The sequence below is a fragment of the Homo sapiens genome, chromosome 8 (genome assembly GCF_000001405.40).
Source record: "Homo sapiens chromosome 8, GRCh38.p14 Primary Assembly".
NCBI classification, from domain to species: Eukaryota; Metazoa; Chordata; class Mammalia; order Primates; family Hominidae; genus Homo; species Homo sapiens.
In genome coordinates, this window is record NC_000008.11 from 21,807,444 (window position 1) to 21,829,576 (window position 22,133).

The following is a 22,133-nucleotide window of genomic DNA, read 5'->3' on the forward strand; positions in this document are numbered from 1 at the left end:
GTCTGCGGTATTCTGTTATAGCAGCAGAAAACAAACCAAGACAGCTTCCATGACAAAGTACTGTAAACTGGGTAGCTTAAATGCAGAAATTTACATATATTCTCACAGTTCTGGAGGCTGGAATTCTGAGATCAAGGCTTCTCTGAGGCCTCTCTCCTTGGCTTGCAGATGGCCACCTTCTTGCTGTGTCCTCACATCGCCTTTCCTCTGTGCATGCACACCCCTTGTGTCTCCTCATGTGTCCAAATTCCTCTTCTTATAAGAACTCCAGAGAAAACATAGAAGAAGATGACCAAGTCCCATCCTACAGGGGCTTACAAGAAAGGATACTGGGAGTGAAAGCCACATACCGACTAGGGAAAGTTGACTAATTCCTTTCTATTTCAATTCCGTCTGTAACATGGACATCATAACGCCTCTTTCTCCATCATGCCAATGCTAGAAGCATAAAATGAGACTGTGCTCTGATAAGAAAAATTACTATGCAGATGCAGATTGGATTAGGGCCCACCCTAATGACCTCATTTTAATGTAATCATCTCTTTAAATACCCTTCCTACAAATACACTCATATGAGGTAGTGTGTGTCAGGGCTTCCACATATGAATTTTGAAGGGAACTAGTTCAGCTCATAACACCTTCTCACTCCACAATGCCAACTTCAGGGCTGGGCACATATTAAATATTTAACACATCCTCCGAAATTGGTAGACATTCCATTTTCTCTGGGGGAAGGGCTCATCTTTGTGGCCTGAGTTCCTAGTCCTGCACAGACCCCTGAAAAACTCCATGGTGGAATATTTAAGGCAAACCCTCTTGTCATGTCGGCTCCCAAATCCTAATGGCTCTGTTATTTTTGAAATCACTTTAGAGCAGCACTGAATAGAGATGGTGATTTCTTGCATTTGCATAGCAATTTTTCTTATCAGAGCACAGTCTCATTTTATCCTTCCAGCATTGCTATGATGGAGGAGGGTTGTTATGATGTCCATCTTATGGACAGGGAATTGAAATAAAAAGGAATTAGTCAACTTTCCAAAGTCAGAGTAAGCCTAGTATGTGCCTTTCACTTCCGTTAACCCTCCTTATGAACCCCTGTAGGACGGGACTTGGTCATTTTCTTCTCCGCAGCTGAGCCTCCAGCGCAGGTCCAGGCACAAAGGGGATGCTCAGGGAGGTTTGGCATTAATAATAACAGAGCTGCTGGAAGAGCCTCTATCCAGAGGAGCTGAAGTCTCAGGACTGACCACCACCCAGCCACCCAAATCCCCTCCAGCAAAACAAGCCCTTGGGCCCTAGGGCCACGTGGATGGCCCGCTTCAGGGTCTGAGCTTCCCACACCCGAGCTGCGTTTCAGTGAAGGCCCTGAAGCCAAGGTTGAATTGAAAATGAGTCTGGAAATATATCTATTATCACTTCCACACTGCTACGAGTGACAATAAGGAAAATGAGTTTACAGTACAATTGCAAAGTGATTTCACATATTATTTATTTCTACCTCTTTTTATCACGGGTATTTTTAGAAGCTGCCTCAAATGCATTGTGGAATGAAGCAGGGTATGAATTTTAAAAATACACTATCTCATTTCCTCCTTGGGGCCATGTTTCAGAGTGGATAAGGAGGGTAGTGTGCCCATTTAGCAGATGGGTAAAGCAAGGCAGAGAGAGGCCAAGTGTCAGCCCAACATCACGCAAGGAGTAAGTGAATAAGCTAGGCCTAGACCCGCACTCCATGCTTTTTCCTGTTTGTCGCTGGCTGCTGTGGGAGGAACACTGAGGAACTGGACCAGGAGAGAGCCCTTCTAAGGGCAGGAGAGAAACAAATGCATGTCCGCTGCAGATGTATCTCCTTTGGCAGAGTTTTTGAACAATTTGTATCTCTGTTTGTTTTTGTTTTGGGAAACGGAGTCTCGCTCAGTCGCCCAGGCTGGAGTGCAGTGGCGCGATCTCAGCTCACGGCAAGCTCCGCCTCCCAGGTTCACGCCATTCTCCTGCCTCAGCCTCCCGAGTAGCTGGGACTACAGGCGCCCGCCACCATGCCCAGCTATTTTTTTTTTGTATTTTTAGTAGAAAAGGGGTTTCACCGTGTTAGCCAGGATGGTCTTGATCTCCTGACCTCGTGATCCGCCCGCCTCGGCCTCCCAAAGTGCTAGGATTACAGGCGTGAGCCACCGCGCCCGGCCAACAATTTGTATCTGAATGATTTTAGTTGAGGCCTGTACCCCCCAGTTCCCTACCTGGCCCCTGCATCATCGCACTGTGTTGCCCACACTTTTGTGTTGCTGTCTGGCTGCCAATGGCTCTTGAGTTTGCAGCCTCTGTTTGGTCTTTGAAAAACAGCCTTGCAGTAACTTCCTTGGGAAGCCCAATGGCACCAGGGATGGGAGAGTTCTTTAGCTATAGAACACGGCCCAGGAAGGGAAATAGGGGAACAGCAAATGCAACATCACCCACACCCTCACCCAACAACACAAATTTGCAGCAGCTGATGGGATCCAGTACCTTAAGCCACCAGATGTTGCTTCTCCTACAGTCCTGGGCAGAACTGGAACACATATTTTACCCTCCTAGATCATCTCCCAACGCATGATCTGAAATAGGCTACAGAATAAACAAGCCTTGGTCTCTCACCAGCTCAGCTCAAGTAGAACTTGTGAGCCTCACAGGCTCCATAAAAAGCCAAATGCAAAAGCACATGGCAGATGATCCAGCCCCTCCCACACCTGAGCCACCACCACATCACTTCCAGCTTTCTTCTCTGATGAACACAGGAGCCCCAAATCCAAACCTGCCCCCAGATACCATCCACAACAGTGGACTGTGGGAGTGGAAGTGACCCACAACATGCAATCCTTCCCCACTCCCTCCTTAGCAAACCCTCCAGCTTGGGGGAGGTCAGCCTCCTCCCTCTGCCCACCCCCCTCACTGACCTGGAGCCATAGCCCCACAGTCCCGTCAAGTCCTCCCCTCCTGGACAGAGTCCTTCCTGGGCTTTTGCTGCCAATAGAGATCAAAATCTATGACCACTTGGTGCCAGCTCCTTGGCATGCTCAGAATACAAAAGAACTGGGCCACAGGGAAGCAGAGAAATGACAGGTCCTGGCTGGCACTGAGGGTAATGGAGGCATCAAAGGAGCTGTCACTCAGAGACCCCATCTCAGTGGCTGTGATGGCAGCAAGGGCCTAGGATATGCCATCATGGGAAGGGGCTGCAGGCACTCAGTGGAGCCAGTGGTAACAGTAGAGATGTCAGGTACAGAGCCTGAATTCTCAGGGACTCTATGGAAAAAAAAGGAGTTGGTGCAGGCTTCTGGGAATGGGGCCCCTGGAATGAAGTGAGGTGGGCACTGAGGTGTAAGTGAGGCTCCTCTCCTGGGAACCAGACTTGGTGGGCTGCAGAGGAGCCCCCAGCAACCAAGCAACCCCCACAACCAGGCCACCAGCCTATGGGTATAAAGGAAGTCACATTTCCCAGCAACTCTAGAAGAAGCACCTGGGGAGCCACCTGACCTCCCATCAGGGAAAGGGGCTGCCTCTTGACAGCCTCGCAGAAGTGCTTGACACTCTTGTCCTCTCCAGAAAACCGATTTTTAAATCACACTGATCTCAAAAGCAGGCCTGTGGCTGGCCCCTCCTGGGCCCCAGGAGAGAAGGGGAGCAGCCTGCAGAGAACAAGGGCCAGGACACAGCCGGCATGGGCAGCCACCTCCTCAGAGGCCTTTAGGGCCCCTGTGGAGGCCCAGCCAGCAGCATCCCTCTGTACTTTCTGCCTCGGGCCTCCCCTGGAACAGAAGCAGGAATCGGCCTCCCGGTGAGGCATCCTCACAGCGGGTCTTTGCATCGGCCAGAGCTGGACTGAGATTGAGAGGCAGTGTCTCCCCTGGGACTCTAACCCCTGCTAAGTTCCCAAGCAGGAGATCCTAACATGTGACTTTACCAGCTCTTAGGGAACTCGGGATGGGTTTTCCCAGGCTGGATCAGAGGCCTTTTAAATGTCCTTCCTAGAATTAAATCCCCAAGCATTTCTCCCTGGCAACAAGAAATCAAACTCATAGGCAGGAACCCAAGGGTCTGGTGCCTCCCGGGTCCTCCATCCACCTAGGGCACTCGGGTCAGAGGAACAGTCTCGGCTTGAGCTTTACATTCCCCATGTCCTGGGCCCTTTGTTACAGGCTCTTCAAAGTCCAGGGACCCTGGCCTTCTCCTGCATACAAGTCCTCCCCCCGCCTTCCCCACAGGCTGTCCTAACAGATAGCTTCCCCTGCAAGTGAATGGAGATCTGCCCCGGTGCCCCCCAACCCCCAACCTCCAGCCCCCTCATTGCAGAGAAAGGCTTGGCTCTTGTTTTCTTTTAACTTAAAACAACACTTCTGGACTCACAGGAAGTTGTAAAAATAGTACAGAGCAATCTCACAGACCCTTGCCCATTTTCCCTGAGTTACAATTTACATAACTATGCTACATCAGGAAACTGACTTGGTTACAATGTGTGTCTATAGTTCTGTGCCCTTTGATTACTTCACCAACACTGAAAATCAAGATTGGCAACTCTTCCCTCTCCATATAGATCCCGCCATCCCGCACTCCCCCCAGCCCCTGGCTATCACCCATCTGTGTTCTCTGTCATTTTGTCATTTCCAGTCTCTGCCCCTACTGAAGCGTGTGGCCATCCGAAACCACCTTGGAGACCGGGTAGATCCCAGCTGAACAAAGCAGGCAGTCCTGGGACAGAAATGGCCCAGGACAAAGGGAACCCAGTCTCACTTGGATGCAGACAACTCACATACCTGGCACCTGTGTGCCGCAACTCGGCCCTCATCTGCCAGCTTCTGCCGGCCTGATGGCGCATTGTCCCGTTCCAACTCCAGATCCATGGTTGCCCTTGCCGGGGTCTCAGCTGCTGGCTCCACTCCCCTCCTGCGGGCCCCTCCCGCACCCTGCTCTCTGCTGCCCCCATCAGGCAGCCTGCTCTCAGAGCATCCCGGCCGCAGGATTTTAATTCAAAATTCTCCCAAGTCATGCTTCTCCCATACTGTACCTACATAATTCACTTTTATTACCTAAATATAGGGCTTAATATTTGGTCCTGTTAAATTTCATCTTGTTTGTTTCAGGCATCCTTTCAGCTTCTCAGGATGCTTTCAAATCCTCAGCTATCTCTCTGAACTTCAATTATCTCTTCTGTCATCTAGAAATTTAATCATCCTGCTGTCTGTATCTTCGTCCACGTCACAGATAAAATCGTCGAATTGAGCAGGGCTTAGAACAGAGTGTTCTGGTACAATACTAGGTGCCCCTTCTAGAGGGGAAAGAGTGAGATTTGGGATCCCAGCAACCCCTTTACAAGCCATTATTCAGCAGCTCTAAATGCACCCAAGTGAGCTGCCAACCAGACTTTATTTTTTTCATTTATTCATGAGGCTGCCAGGAAAGATTTTGCACTGCTTGCTCACAGACGGACCAGCCCACTTGAGTCCCCACCCACTTAGCCAAGGGTCTAATTCCCAGAAGTTCCCAAGAACACCTAGGCTTGTATACACTTGTCTAAAACTCAGGCCTTTTGAGGCTATATGGCTGCTACCTGCAAAGAAAGCAGAAACTCAGAAAGACTCACTCTGCTGACTGGTCTAGCCATGGATGTCTGCTTGATTTGGGGGTGGCCACGATGACTCTGTGAGGTGAGAAGAAGGACATTTCATCTGTCTGGGACCTAAGTATTACATATTTAATCAGAAGTATGCAGCTTTAGGTTGTGTGTGGTGGCTGACGCTGGTAATCCCAGCATTTTGGGAGGCCAAGGCAGAAAGATTGCTTGAGACCAAGAGTTCAAGACCAGCCTGGGCAAAGAGCAAGACCCCATATCTACAAAAAAAAAATTTTTTTTAATTAGCCAGGCATGGTGGCCTGCACCTGTAGTCCTAGCTCCTCAGGAGGTTCAGGTAAGAGGGTGGCTTGAGAGCCCAGGAAGTAGAGGCTGCAGTGAGCCAAGATTGTGTCACTGCACTCTAGCCTGGGCGACAGAGTGAGACCCTTTCTAAATATAGATAGATGATAGATGACAGACAGATGGATAATATATAGATATAGATAATGGATAGATAGATAGTAGACAGACAGATAATAGAGATAGATCATAAGATAGAGAGAGAGAGAGAGAGAGAGAGAGAGATAGATAGATAGATAGATAGATAGATAGATAGATAGATAGATGGATGCAGCTTTTTCCCAAGGCCCACCCAGAGTTCTACACTGGCCCTGGGTTCTGGCAGCAGCCAGCTATCCATGCCAGCTGCCCCTGCTGATGGTCCTGGAGGCCTGGCCCCGGTCCTGCTTCCCTTTCTCTTGTGGTGAGCGTGCTCTTGGGGAACATGCTGTTCTTTACTGCCTGCTCACCTCATTGCAGCCGTTCTCTCCAGCCATGTGAGGATAGGGGTCTCATTGCCTAGTCTCTGTGGGGACCCCTCTGTTCCTGTATAGGTTCAGAATAAAAATAGGGACATAAGAGAGGCACAGCCCACAAGGCCACTCTGTGACACTTAAGTCCCATGTGCACATGGATAATATGAGGAGAGGAGCCACCTCTGACCCACCACCCCCTGCCGCCCCTGCCGAGCAGAAGTGCCCTGTTACACTGACTTTCTAATCAAACAGCGATCACAAGGAGGAAAAAGTTGGAGTGATCCTCTTTGTCCTAAGTGAACTCACACTGGCTTCCAGCGATCACCTTTCTTTTCCAAGAACTCACAAATCATCAGTTTCAGTCATCAGTTTTGGAATTTTGCCAAGGGTCAACATTGAAATTACTGTATAATCATTTCCAAAATCAGGGAAGGTCCGGGCTTTCTGGGCCTAATGCACTTTCTTAAGTGTGGAAGCCAACTGTTCCTTCCCCCTCACTCACCATGAGAATCACACACACACACACACACACGCAAGAAGGCACCCACCAGAGACTACACTCCACTGACACGGAAGTGCCGCCAAACATAAAGACTTCCAAAGCCAACGTCCCTGATTCTTCCCATCCTGTCTTCTTTTCACCTCTCTCAGAATTGCTCCCTCCTCTCTCTCCACCACCTCATCCCTCCACCCAGAGGTAAGAGACATCTTCATAGCTCTGTAATTGTGACTGTGGCTAAGCAGCCGTGTGATCGCAGGGAAAGGGGAGCCAGGCACGCGGGAGGGGCTCGGACAGGCTCTGACCCATGCTGCCAACACACCTCCATCTGTCAGCGACAGCCCTCCCTGCGTGGGGAGTTGATGGAGCGGTGACTGCCAGTTTGCTAACGTCCTTGTCTGCGGATGCTGCAAAGACATGGTTTTCCATGGAGGAATTCTGAGGCTTACACGCAAGTCTTCTCTGAATTACAGTAATTAAAGTTGAGAAGAGCAACACGCCAGAACTCCTCCTTTACCTGTCATTTCTGGGCTGATGACGGGGCTCCAACTTCAAGGTCACTCTGTCCTCCTCCCTCTTTCCTTCCTGCCCCTGGCTCCTCTCCACACCAGGCCTGAAACAGCCAAGGACCCAACCTTCCCCCATCACAAAAGGCAGCCAACCAGATCCGGGGGAAAAGCAGGCACCTTCGAACTCCAGTGCTTGGGATTTCAAGTTGAGTCTTACTGGCTTGGTTCCCAGCAGGAAAACATTTCATCCAGGCCCTGCTGGGGCTGGGGATAGGGTCAGAGACAATAATGAGAACTGGAAGAGACTCAACTACCATCCAGACCTGTCTGCTAATTCCACAAACGAAGAAACAGAGGCTCCAAAGAGAGAAGTATCGTGCTAAAGTTCAGCCAGATAGTCTCAGAGTCAGAACGAGAACTCGATTCTCCTGACACCGGGTTTATTCCACTACCCCAGGGCCATTTGTTGAAGCCAGCCGTTGTGTTAAGCGCTTTACATAAATTATTTCTAATTTTTACAGCAACTTTTCAGGGTATCATTATCCCCATTTCAGGATTGAGGTAATGGAGTGATTTGCCCAAGGTCGCATAGATAGAAAGTGGCAGGCGAGGAATTCAAGTCTGTTATCCCATTCTTTCTCATAAATATCCATCAGGGGCAGAGAGAGGCGAGTCTGAGTGGGTTTGGGGATGTGTGAGGGTGTCCCAAAGGAAGAAGTCCTGAAAGGTACCTGCTGGAACATCCCAGCTACAGGCTTCCACGGATTACATTCACCTCACCAACGGTAAGGCCCACATATGGCCAGTTGTTAACAAACATCGTACCAAGAAGGAAAAAAGCCCTGAGTACAAGTGCCTGGAGGTTGATCTTCAACAGGGAAGATGTAGAAAGGCAGATGAAAGCTAAGGACCCTGAAACTGACAGAAGGTCAGGGAGAACCTACTAAAACCCACAGGTCTCCCTTGGGTTTTTGTGGCTAAGCTGGTGGGAGTGAGAAGAAACCCAAACTCCCAATTTAGTTTCCAGATGTCTGTCTATCTCATTCGCCACCACCCACATACTCCAACCCCACTCCTGAATTAACAGGAGGACTGATCAGACCTCACAGAAAATGATGGGATTCTTGTGCTCCCAGAGCCCAAATTCTATACTCCTCACTCCTACCCAAGGCCTGGAAAGGTAAGAGGCTTTAGCAGAGACAAATCAGAGAAGGAGTGGGGTCGGGGGGGCAAGGAGTAAGAAAGTGGCTTTGTGGGGAAGACCCAGTCCTACACAGCTCAGGAATGCGCTAGAGGGCTGACCAGTCCTATAATGCCTTGCCTTTGTGGACACAGGACTCAAACATTTGCAAGAAGATGTTAGACACCATAACGTTAGCTCTCGCCACAACACGAAATAACTAGTATGTCATTGTCAGTTGAGTTATACCAACTTTCTCATCATTTTTCTTTGCAAAATGAGGACAATAATAGTATGCACCGCACAGGATGTTTGTGAGAATTAAATGAGATGCAAAGTACCTAGTATAGTTCCTGGCATATAATCAGCACACAATAAATGTTAGATTTTTATTGTTGTTTTTACTTCTATCTTGATGAAAAATGTATTATTTTTACACTGTTATAAACCTAAGAGAACCATGAGTTAGGTTCCACAAATTTCATTGCTGAAATCATGTACCTTGGACAGTTCTATTATTACATTTGTGTTATTTAAACAAAATTTCCCTTCTCAGGAAAGTTGCGAGGAAAGTACTCCCTATACCACCCCGAGGCAATGCTTCTGCTTGTAAAACACTTTTCCCTTTCAAGGCAATTTCTCACTGCTCCTCATCATAAGCTCACCGTGTAATTCTGAGGTCGACGGAGTAGAAGTTGCTGTACTTCCTTTATCAGATACTGAAACTCAAGGTAAAGGACGTTTGTGGGGCTGGACCTACAGCCAGGTCCTGATGCCTCTCTCAGCATCCAGTCCAGCAACATGGAGCACAGGCAACTTGGCAGGCGATCTGCATGTCTGTCCTCCGGCGCTCACAGTGGGTCCCACGTGTGACCCGCCCCTGCCATTGGTGGAGTCCTGCGTCTCTGCCAGGCTTCAGCCCGACAGGACCCTCACCCAAGCATGAGAGGTTCACAACCTTGAGGAGTTTGGAAGGGCACGCAAAGGGGATCGACTGCTCTTTTTTAAAAAGCATACTGCAGAGCTGTTTGGCCATTTTACAAGACTTCTGATACCCAGCCCTCCTCCACTGCTGTTCAGGTTCTAACCCCTCTCCTTGCCTAGCCCCTTTCCAGCATGAGGGTCAGCCTTACACTAGCACCATTGCCCGAGTGGGGCGGGGTGGAGGGAGTTCACCACGGGTGCATGTTCTGATTGATCAGAGCCCACGCTGTTCAAGGTGCTACCTACTTCGAACATCATCTCTGCCTGCATCCCTGTTTCCCATTACTCCCCAGATATCTATTCCCCTACAGAGAGTTTGACCACCATTCCTCCTAGAATCTTCTGTCCCAGAATGACTTACTTTTACCGATCCAGCCCCTACCCATCCTCCACAAGGCTGGTCAAGCGTCTTTTCCTCCTGGAAGCCCTCCTAGATCAGCCCCAGGCCAGCGTTTACCTCCATTTTCTAGCTCCCAGAGGCTTTTTCGAACTGCAGGTGGTGTATCATTAGCAGGTCATGGACATCAATTCAGGGCATTGCAATGAGCATTCTTTAACCAAATAGAATACAAAATATCAGAAGATACCGTCTGTGATAAAGATCACAGCATGTATATGAACATACGTATGTGTCGCATACTGATGTGATATAAAAAACGTTCCTTACTGCTTCTTGCAGTCAAAACCTTTGAAAAACATTGGATATTAATGCCTTCCATCCTAAATAGTACCAAGCATCTAAAATCTGCCTAACTTCTCCAAAGACACCAGGAGTGAAGTCAGGGAGAAGAGAGGAGAGTGAGGGGGTCAGCCAGGCTGGAGCCACTCTGACATGGGAGAGGAAAGTATATGAGGACAGGGACTAGGTTTCTCTACTTACCTCTCCCCTGGCACCTGGCATAAGTGTCAATGAATGGGTAGCACACCAGTTAGGCTAGATTACTCTGTGATAACAAAAGAAATCAAGGCCAGGCGCGGTGGCTCACACCTGTAATCCCAGCACTTTGGGAGGCCAAGGTGGGCGGATCACGAGGTCAGGGGATCGAGACCATCCTGGCCAACATGGTGAAACCCCGTCTTTACTAAAAATACAAAAAATTTGGGGTGGGGGGAGGGGGGAGGGATAGCATTAGGAGATATACCTAATGTAAATGACGAGTTAGTGGGTGCAGCACACCAACATGGCACATGTATACATATGTAACAAACCCGCACGTTGTGCACATGTACCCTAGAACTTAAAGTATAATAAAAAATATATATTAAAAAAAAATTAGCCAGGCATGGTGGCGGGCGCCTATAGTCCCAGCCACTTGGGAGGCTGAGGCAGGAGAATGGCATGAACCCGGGAGGCGGAGTTTGTGGTGAGCCAAGATTGCACCACTGCACTCCAGCCTGGGCAAAAGAGCAAGACTCCATCTCAAAAAAAAAGAAAAAGAAAAGAAAAAGAAATCAAAAACAGCCGTGCATGGAGGCACACTCCTGTAGTGCCCCCAACTCAGAAGGCTGAGGTGGGAGGATCTCGAGTTCAAGCCCAGCCTGGGCAACATAGGGAGACCCCCATCTCAAAAAAAAAAAAAAGTTTCCACAGCTTAACATGGTTGATTTCTCACTTATGCAAGTCCACTCTAGGTCTGGTAACTCCAGTGTGGCTGTCCCCTAGGTAGTAGCTCAGAAATCTAGGCTGCTTGCACCATGTCACCCTACCTGCTGGATCAATGCATGGATAACTGTAGCAGGGAAAGAGAGAGCCAGGGGCTGTCCATGGTGACCTGTGTCCCTTTTACGCCCAGCTACTGGCCAGACCTGGCCTCATAGCCCCCACCTAACTGCAAAGAGGAAGGGAAATATAGAGAAGCAGTAAGCGTCTCCCTTTCTTTCTCTTCCTTCCTTCCTCCCTCCCTTACTTCGTGTCTTCCCTCCCCACCCTCCTCCTCCTCATCTTTCTCTCTTTCTTTCTCTCTCTCTCTTTCTCTCTCCCTCTCTCTCTTTTCTTTCGAGACAGGGTGTTGCTCTGTCTCAAACAAACAAACAAACAAACAAACAAAGGGCTGGGCGAGGTGGCTCACACCTGTAATCCCAGCACTTTGGGAGGCCAAGGTGGGTGGATCACCTGAGGTCAGGAGTTTGTGACAAGTCTGGCCAACTTGGTGAAACCCGTCTCTACTAAAAATACAAACTTAGACAAGCGTAGTGGCGGGCACCTATAGTCCCAGCTACTCGGGAAGCTGAGGCAAGAGAATTGCTTGAAGCCAGGAGGCAGAGGTTGCAGTGAGCCAAGATTGCACTACTGCACTACAGCCTGGGCAACAGAGCAAGACTCTGTCTCAAAAAAAAAAAAGGCTGGAGTGCAGTGGCATGATCACAGCTCACTTCAGCCTCAACCTCCTGGACTCAAGTGATCCTCACATCTCAGCTTCCCAAGTGGCTGAGACCACAGATATGCACCACCACACCTGGCTAATTTTTTGATCTTTTTGTAGAGATGGGGTTTCACTTTGTTGCCCAGGCTGGTCTTAAACTCCTAGGCTTAAGTGATCTTCCTGCCTCCCTGGCCTCCCAAAGTGCTGGGATAACAGGTATGAGCCTCTGGTCCCAGCCAAATGTCTCTACAGTAACACTGCCCGAGGTGTTTTGCCTCAAAACTCTATGTATGTAACTTGCCTCCCCAGCTCCTCAGGTAGTCATTCCACAGAACTTCTGGTGGTCTTCTGTAAAGCAAGCCCTATGCTAATATCTGGGAATAGAGAAGTAACTGAGACACTGTCCCAGTTTGGATGGCACCAGAAGCAATCCTGAGCTGAGGATCACAGTGTCCCTGGTTAACCTGGGAAGTGCAGAGAACACCAGCAGGGCAAAGGGAAGTGATCCAGGAGATGCATTTTATTAAGCCTGTTACCTCAGTGGATGTCTGAAGCCCAATCCCATGGAGAAGGTCTGGAAAATAGTGTAAAGCGCACCTCAAAATTATCCCCACTTTAGGGTTGAGGAAGCTGAAGTCTCCCTCAACCCGCTCCCCATCAGCGCTGATTCAAGCTGCTCCTGAGGGATGTTAGTGCCCCAGCCCTTCCAGCCTGCTCCACTCACTCAGGGGAGTGGAGTAACCTTCCAGAAAAATCCCTCGTTCAAAGGCAGGTGAAGTTCCCAGAGCAAACTTCTCAGTAAGGGTAAGGTCTGAGGGAAATGAGCAGGAAACTGACAGCCCCAGCTTCCACACAGGTGAACTTACCAGGCAGGAGAAGAAAGAGGCAGATATGCAAATAAACATTAGCAAAGGAGAAAATGCTACAATTGAGGAAGCAACAAAGCGTCCAGGCACAGAGGAGGTAGCAGCTGATCCTCCCAAGGATGGAAAAAGACTTCCTAGAAGTGATCAAATCTGGGCTGAATCCTGAAGGCCAAGTAGGAGTTACCTCTGAGAAGAGGAAGAAGAGATGCAATGGGGACTGCTTGCCTGCCCATCACCTCCATTGTCCCTTTCTTCCCAGCTGACCCAGTTCTGCTTAGGGTGCACTGTGCTCAGCCCCAGGTACCTCTCTAGGACTGGTCTGCACCTGTTGCAAAATCCTTATGCCCATTTGCCAGAGTCTTGGTTTTCCAGCCTCTCTTGCACCTGGCAGTGGGCGTGTCAACTGGCCCTGGCCAATAAAGGTAGTAAGAGGGGGTTGGGTGCAATGGCTCACACCTGTGATCTCATCTCAGCACTTGGGGAGGCCAAGGCAGGAAGATTACGTGAGGCCAGGAATTTGAGACCATCCTAGCCAACACAGCAAGACCCCAGATTTCTTTTTTTTAAGGTAATAAGAGGGGGTCTGCCAGGGAGGATTCTGTGGCAGCATTTGCTTTCCTGAGCTAAAGAGCAGATGGATTTGCTGCTGTCCTTTCCTTTCCTCCTGTCTTGAATGCAAACGTGATGCCTAAAGTCTCTATAGCCATCTTGTGACCATCAGGTACTGAGCACGAGGACAAAAAGTCAACAAGCTAAAGACAGTAGAGTGGAAAGGGACATGGAATTTGGAATTATGGCAGCATTCCTGAACAGCCAATGTTTGGCCACTGCCTGCTTTCTTATCATATGAGACATATAAAATCCTATATGTTTAAGCCCACTTACTCCAGTATCCTCTACTCGCAACCCAAGGTAATGCCAACCAACCCAAGTGGGAGAAGTCAGGTGCAATAAGCCATGTGCAATCAGCCATGCCTGGGATCTGGGAGAGGTTTGGTTTGGCTGGAGGATGGACTGTGCATTACACAGTGGAGGGAAAGAGGCCACCCAGGAGCATTAGGAGGAGAATAGAAAAGACCCACTTTGTCATGCAAAGTTCAAAGGAGAGGTTCACAAAGCTTCAAACAACGACGTCAGATGATCATCATATGTGGGTTTCAGGAAATAATTGTATCCATCACATAAAGGAAGGACCCTGACCCCCTTACAGACATAGATGATGTCGGTACAATTTTGTAGTGTCTACAGCCTCTAATACAGTCACCATTTAATATTTATTGAATTGAATTGAAATGATGTTACCCTAATTATTTCCATGAGACCCACAGTGCTTCAATCAATCACTATTTAGAAAGGTTGCAGCCATGTTCCCAGCTAAGACATCAGCTGGGTCCCTTCCCTCCCCTCCCCGGGAATCAGAGTCCTCACTGCACAATGAGAGAACTTAGCCTGTGGCTGACTCCCTCCAACAACAAGGAGGCCTGTCCTGGCTTCCGTCCACTTCACACTTTCACAAAATTGGCAGGGGAAAGCTGGTGGGACGCTTGATCGAGGCCCAAGCACTGAGCAGAGGGACGCTTGATCAGACCCCAAGCACTGAGCAGAGAAAATGGATCAATAGCTACGCCACCCCCAGCCTGATTTAGGAAGAAAAATTGCAGATCAAATGTAATATTTCTGTAGGTCCCAAATGACCCAGGTCCCAATCTGGCTCTTTCTCTATATGTAACACATATGCAAGTAAGGGTTTTTTTGTTTTGTTTTGTATTGAGATGGAGTTTCGCTCTTGTCGCCCAGGCTGGAGTGCAATGGGACGATCTAGGCTCAGTGCAACCTCTGCCTCCCAAGTTCAAGCGACTCTCCTGCCTCAGCCTCTCGAGTAGCTGGAATTACAGGCACCCACAACCACACCCAGCCAATTTTTTGTTTGTTTGTTTGTTTGTTTGTTTTTTAAACAGAGCCTTGCTCTGTTGCCCAGGCTGGAGTGCAGTGGCACGATCTCGGCTCACTGCAAGCTCTGCCTCCCAAGTTCATGTCATTCTCCTGCCTCAGCCTCCCAAGTAGCTGGGACTACAGGCGCCTGCCACCAGGCCCGGCTAATTTTTTTGTATTTTTTAGTAGAGACAGGGTTTCACCGTGTTAGCCAGGATGGTCTTGATCTCCTAACCTCGTGATCCGCCCCACCCTCAGCCTCCCAAAGTGCTGGCATTACAGGCGTGAGCCACCGTGCCCAGCCTAATTTTTGTATTTTTAGTAGAGACGGGGATTCACCATGTTGGTCAGGCTGGTCTCAAAGCCCTGACCTCAGGTGATCCACCCGCCTCAGCCTCCCAAAGTGCTGGGATTACAGGCGTGAGCCACCTTTTTTTCATTTTTTTCTCTCACCCAACTATTATTTCAAAACCAAAGATGACGGGAGAGGGGAAATCAAGTGTTTTCTCATTGGGCATTCAAAGAGTGACCAATTAACCCCCCAAATTAGGCAAGTACCAGGGAGACCCATAAAGATGAGACATTGGACTTCATGTTCACACACCCATCAACACTCCAGCCCTAAATTATATTTGACATTTAATTAAAACCCCAAGGCAGCGAAGTCAAGAGTTGAACTGCTACAGTACTGGAAAAGGAGCCGCTCTTTAGGATGGATTCATTTACCTCCTGTTACCAAAGCCATCAACACTGACCTCCCCCAGCCCAGCTTTACTCACTGGTAGAAATACAACAGAGGCATGACTGGGGAAGTGTGTTCCCCGTCTCCTGCACTCCCCTCATCGCCTCCACAGACATACTCAGACGCCATCACTGCCAGAGTGGAACTGGTCCTTCTCAGGTTCCATGCCACCCAGCACTAACTTCCCTCCTGGCCACCCATACAGGAAGTCACCCAACCCCAATTCCCCACTCACTTCCCTTCCTAGAGACTGCACTTTTCTCTGTTCCAAGAGCATGAAGGGTTTCAGCATTGAGCCGCCTTTCTTCTCTCCTTCCTTCCTGCCTTCTGTTCTTCCTCCCCTTTTTCTTCCTTCCCTCCTTCCTTCTCTCTTCTTTCTTCCTTCCCTCCTTCCCTCCTTCCCTTCTCTCCTTCCCTCCTCCTCTCCTTCCCTCCTTCCCTTCTCCTCTCCTTCACTTCCTTTCTTCTCTCCTTCCTTTCCCTCCTTCCCTCCTTCCCTCCTTCTCTCCTTCTGTCCTTCCCTCCTTCTTTCTTCTCTCCTTTCCTCCTTCCCACTTTCTTTCCCTTCTCTCCTTCCCTCCTTCTCTCCTTCCCTTCTTCCTTCCTGACTGCCCACATGATGCACTGAGCAGCCTCCACATTCTAGTGCCATGCTAAATGTTACAGGCACACAAAGATCCATAAAACAACTCTTGCCCTTGTGATCTTCTGGTGGAGACAAAGCAATTTATGAAATGCCTAATATCTATATTAGATATAATAAGACAATGTGTGCCAACGAAGAGTCCAGGCAACAGGAGCTTCCAGGTCAGAGGAAGGAGAGACCTGAGTAGTTAGAAAGGACCTTGCTGAGGATCAGGACTCCTGCTGGACCTCCAAGACCGCCATGACTTAGAAAGATGAGAGGAAGAGGAAAGGTGCAGGGACAGAGAACAGTACATGTGAAGGTCTAGAAACAGGAGGTGAACAGGAAAGAGTAAGAACCCCTTTCTGCCTAGAATGGAGGATCAGGAAATGGGGTACAGATGCCTGTTGATGAGCTAGCAGGAGCTGGAGGTGGAGTCTGGACTTCCTCCTGCAAGCAGGAATCATCTAGGCCCCACAGGAACTCTAGGGGTGTTGGTGACTGTGGAGCATCACAGCAGATGAGACTGTGTTGCTTCTCTGACTTGCTGGGTACTGGCTGCCTCTCTCTCTGAGCTGGATTTTCATCCCCTATGAATCGGTAGGACTACCCTCATTCTTGCTTCTCTGCCACTTGCCTTTCAGGACTAGAGCGGTGCTAAATGGTTCCATGTACCAGGTTTCGGATTACAGAAAGTGTCCTTGGACCCCAGACGCCACTCTCTTCCTCCGATTTTGAGGCATCAAAACAAAATGATGCTTTCCTGATACAGATCACAAACCCAGCAGAGAATCAAGACACATTAGCACTGATTCAAACACACATGAACCTCACTGTCTTAGAAACAGAGCATTTCAAAGCCTCTCAACTCACCTTGATCACAATTTCATCCCCAGAAGATTTAGGAAGTAACAAAGGCAACAGCCTTTTCAGGATTAATTCTGATCCACCAGGAAGAAATTACTGGGAATCTGAAATGACAGAAACCACAGACAGAAGAGACAGGATATTAGAAGAAAGTGAACATGTCATCTTAGACTTCAGAGCAGCCCAGAAAGAGAATAGTAGAGAGACATGTGTCAAAGACTTTAGAAAGTCTAATTTCCAGACATTTGGAGAAAAGGTAGCTACAATCCAGTAACCAGAGTCTCTACAGGGGAAGATATTTCAAGAACGAAGCGTAGCAGTTTCTGGAGACAAGGTTCTGTCTACACAATTGCAAAATATTTCACTGGGGGAGAAAGGAGAAAGAAATCTTAAAAAGATAATAACAATTTCAGCTGCACTAGCACCTCTCTGGCTCCAGCAAGAAAGCAGACATCCTAGCTCTTACCATCTCCTACATCAACGAAAATTAGCTTTGCCTTGAAATCCTGTTTTAGTCACAGCACTTCCCAGCTCTAAAATGTTCAGTGACTCTCATTCACCATGAAATTTAAAGCTCAAGAAACCCTCAAGGCTCTGCCCATGTGGACCTGGTCTACCCTCCGAGCCTCAGCTCACCCTGACCTCCACATCTCACAGCTCCAGGCCAGGGGATGGCAGGCTGCAGCCTGCAGGCCGGATGCAGCTCACCCTACCTGTTTCTGCACAGTCCACAAGCTAAGAATGTTTTTTTGAATTTTTTTTTTTTTTGAGACAGAGTCCCGCTGTGTCGCCCAGGCTGGAGTGCAGTGGCGCAATCTCGGCTCACTGCAAGCTCTGCTTCCCGGGTTCACACCATTCTCCTGCCTCAGCCTCCTGAGTAGCTGGGACTACAGGTGCCCGCCACCATGCCTGGCTAATTTTTTGTATTTTTAGTAGAGACGAGGTTTCACCATGTTAGCCAGGATGGTCTTGATCTCCTGACCTCATGATCCTCCCGCCTCGGCCTCCCAAATTGCTGGGATTACAGGCATGAGCCACCATGCCTGGCGTTTTTTTGAATTTTTAAGTGGTGGGGTGGGAGAGAAATCAAAAAAATAATATGTTATGGCACGTGAAAATAATATGAAATTTGAATTTCAATGTTCATAAGTCATTTTTGTTTTGTTTCGATTTTGAGACAGCATCTCACTCTGTCATCCAGGCTGGAGTGCAGTGGCATTATCATGGCTCACTGCAGCCACGACCTCCTGGGCTCAAGCAATCCTCTTGCCTCAGCCTCCCAAGTAGCTGGGATTAAAGGCATGCGGACTGAGGAGCCAAGATGGCCGAATAGGAACAGCTCCGGTCTACAGCTCCCAGTGTGAGCAACGCAGAAGACGGGTGATTTCTGCATTTCCATTTGAGGTACCGGGTTCATCTCACTAGGGAGTGCCAGACAGTGGGCGCAGGTCAGTGGGTGCTCGCACCGTGCACGAGCCGAAGCAGGGCGAGGCATTGCCTCATTGGGGAAGCGCAAGGGGTCAGGGAGTTCCCTCTCCTAGTCAAAGAAAGGGGTGACAGACGGCACCTGGAAAATCGGGTCACTCCCACCCGAATACTGCGCTTTTCCGACAGGCTAAAAAAACGGTGCACCAGGAGATTATATCCCACACCTGGCTCAGAGGGTCCTACGGCCACGGAGTCTCACTGATTGCTAGCACAGCAGTCTGAGATCAAACTGCAAGGCGGCAGCGAGGCTGGGGGAGGGGCGCCCGCCATTGCCCAGGCTTGCTTAGGTAAACAAAGCAGCTGGGAAGCTCGAACTGGGTGGAGCCCATCACAGCTCAAGGAGGCCTGCCTGCCCCTGTAGGCTCCACCTCTGGGGGCAGGGCACAGACAAACAAAAAGATAGCAGTAACCTCTGCAGACTTAAATGTCCCTGTCTGACAGCTTTGAAGAGAGCAGTGGTTCTCCCAGCACGCAGCTGGAGATCTGAGAACGGGTAGATTGCCTCCTCAAGTGGGTCCCTGACCCCTGACCCCTGAGCAGCCTAACTGGGAGGCACCCCCCAGCAGGGGCAGACTGACACCTCACACTGCCGAGTACTCCAACAGACCTGCAGCTGAGGGTCCTGTCTGTTAGAAGGAAAACTAACAAACAGAAAGGACATCCACACCAAAAACCCATCTGTACATCACCATCATCAAAGACCAAAAGTAGATAAAACCACAAAGATGGGAAAAAAACAGAGCAGAAAAACTGGAAACTCGAAAAAGCAGAGCACCTGTCCTCCTCCAAAGGAACGCAGTTCCTCACCAGCAACGGAACAAAGCTGGACGGAAAATGACTTTGACGAGCTGCGAGAAGGCTTCAGACGATCAAATTACTCCGAGCTACGGGAGGACATTCAAACCAAAGGCAAAGAAGTTGAAAACTTTGAAAAACATTTAGAAGAATGTATAACTAGAATAACCAATACAGAGAAGTGCTTAAAGGAGCTGATGGAGCTGAAAACCAAGGCTCGAGAACTACGTGAAGAATGCAGAAGCCTCAGGAGCTGATGCAATCAACTGGAAGAAAGGGTATCAGTGATGGAAGATGAAATGAATGAAATGAAGCGAGAAGGGAAGTTTAGAGAAAAAAGAATAAAAAGAAACGAGCAAAGCCTCCAAGAAATATGGGACTATGTGAAAAGACCAAATCTACGTCTGATTGGTGTACCTGAAAGTGATGAGGAGAATGGAACCAAGTTGGAAAACACTCTGCAGGATATTATCCAGGAGAACTTCCCCAATCTAGCGAGGCAGGCCAACATTCAGATTCACGAAATACAGAGAACGCCACAAAGATACTCCTCGAGAAGAGCAACTCCAAGACACATAATTGTCAGATTCACCAAAGTGGAAATGAAGGAAAAAATGTTAAGGGCAGCCAGAGAGAAAGGTCGGGTTACCCACAAAGGGAAGCCCATCAGACTAACAGCGGATCTCTCGGCAGAAACTCTACAAGCCAGAAGAGAGTGAGGGCCAATATTCAACATTCTTAAAGAAAAGAATTTTCAACCCAGAATTTCATATCCAGCCAAACTAAGCTTCATAAGTGAAGGAGAAATAAAATCCTTTACAGACAAGCAAATGCTGAGAGATTTTGTCACCACCAGGCCTGCCCTAAAAGAGCTCCTGAAGGAAGCGCTAAATATGGAAAGGAACAACCAGTACCAGCCACTGCAAAATCATGCCAAAATGTAAAGACCATCGAGACTAGGAAGAAACTGTATCAACTAACGAGCAAAATAACCAGCTAACACCATAATGACAGGATCAAATTCACACATAACAATATTAACTTTAAATGTAAATGGACTAAATGCTCCAATTAAAAGACAGAGACTGGCAATTGGATAAAGAGTCAAGACCCATCAGTGTGCTGTATTCAGGAAACCCATCTCACGTGCAGAGATACATATAGGCTCAAAATAAAAGGATGGAGGAAGATCTACCAAGCAAATGGAAAACAAAAAAAGGCAGGGGTTGCAATCCTAGTCTCTGATAAAACAGACTTTAAACCAACAAAGATCAAAAGAGACAAAGAAGGCCATTACATAATGGTAAAGGGATCAATTCAACAAGAAGAGCTAACTATCCTAAATATATATATGCACACAATACAGGAGCACCCAGATTCATAAAGCAAGTCCTGAGTGACCTACAAAGAGACTTAGACTCCCACACAATAATAATGGGAGACTTTAACACCCCACTGTCAACATTAGACAGATCAACGAGACAGAAAGTCAACAAGGATACCCAGGAATTGAACTCAGCTCTGCACCAAGTGGACCTAATAGACATCTACAGAACTCTCCACCCCAAATCAACAGAATATACATTTCTTTCAGCACCACACCACACCTATTCCAAAATTGACCACATACTTGGAAGTAAAGCTCTCCTCAGCAAATGTAAAGGAACAGAAATTATAACAAACTATCTCTCAGACCACAGTGCAATCAAACTAGAACTCAGGATTAAGAAACTCACTCAAAACCACTCAACTACATGGAAACTGAACAACCTGCTCCTGAATGACTACTGGGTACATAACAAAATGAAGGCAGAAATAAAGATGTTCTTTGAAACCAACAAGAACAAAGACACAACATACCAGAATCTCTGGGACGCATTCAAAGCAGTGTGTAGAGGGAAATTTATAGCACTAAATGCCCACAAGAGAAAGCAGGAAAGATCCAAAATTGACACCCTAACATCACAATTAAAAGAACAAGAAAAGCAAGAGCAAACACATTCAAAAGCTAGCAGAAGGCAAGAAATAACTAAAGTCAGAGCAGAACTGAAGGAAATAGAGACACAAAAAACCCTTCAAAAAATTAATGAATCCAGGAGCTGGTTTTTTGAAAGGATCAACAAAATTGATAGACCACTAGCAAGACTAATAAAGAAAAAAAGAGAGAAGAATCAAATAGACGCAATAAAAAATGATAAAGGGGATATCACCACCGATCCCACAGAAATACAAACTACCATCAGAGAATACTACAAACACCTCTACGCAAATAAACTAGAAAATCTAGAAGAAATGGATAAATTCCTCGACACATACACCCTCCCAAGACTAAACCAGGAAGAAGTTGAATCTCTGAATAGACCAATAACAAGATCTGAAATTGTGGCAATAATCAATAGCTTACCAACCAAAAAGAGTCCAGGACCAGATGGATTCACAGCCGAATTCTACCAGAGGTACAAGGAGGAACTGGTACCATTCCTTCTGAAACTATTCCAATCAATAGAAAAAGAGGGAATCCTCCCTAACTCATTTTATGAGGCCAGCATCATCCTGATACCAAAGTCGGGCAGAGACACAACCAAAAAAGAGAATTTTAGACCAATATCCTTGATGAACATTGATGCAAAAATCCTCAATAAAATACTGGCAAACCGAATCCAGCAGCACATCAAAAAGCTTATCCACCATGATCAAGTGGGCTTCATCCCTGGGATGCAAGGCTGGTTCAATATACACAAATCAATAAATGTAATCCAGCATATAAACAGAACCAAAGACAAAAACGACATGATTATCTCAATAGATGCAGAAAAGGCCTTTGACAAAATTCAACAACCTTCATGCTAAAAACTCTCAATAAATTAGGTATTGATGGGACGTA

At 47.9% G+C, this 22,133-nt stretch overlaps 1 protein-coding gene across 1 annotated transcript in view, besides 2 other annotated features; it reads right to left on the reverse strand.

The window, feature by feature from the left end:
* The window catches only part of GFRA2 (GDNF family receptor alpha 2), a 121,948-nt gene extending 117,046 nt beyond the window's left edge, over positions 1 to 4,902 (reverse strand). The window contains exon 1 of the mRNA XM_047421687.1: positions 4,788 to 4,902. The gene's annotated coding sequence lies outside the window, so the exon portion shown is untranslated. The remainder of the gene's footprint in view (positions 1 to 4,787) is intronic.
* Positions 18,045 to 18,589: an enhancer, noted in NCBI's record as "NANOG-H3K27ac-H3K4me1 hESC enhancer chr8:21683000-21683544 (GRCh37/hg19 assembly coordinates)". NCBI's record gives its function as "activates a minimal SCP1, AML or CMV promoter by ChIP-STARR-seq in primed H9 embryonic stem cells {active_cell/tissue: H9 hESC(primed)}" and the evidence as "EXISTENCE:reporter gene assay evidence [ECO:0000049][PMID:30033119]".
* Positions 18,590 to 19,133: an enhancer, noted in NCBI's record as "NANOG-H3K27ac-H3K4me1 hESC enhancer chr8:21683545-21684088 (GRCh37/hg19 assembly coordinates)". NCBI's record gives its function as "activates a minimal SCP1, AML or CMV promoter by ChIP-STARR-seq in naive H9 embryonic stem cells {active_cell/tissue: H9 hESC(naive)}" and the evidence as "EXISTENCE:reporter gene assay evidence [ECO:0000049][PMID:30033119]".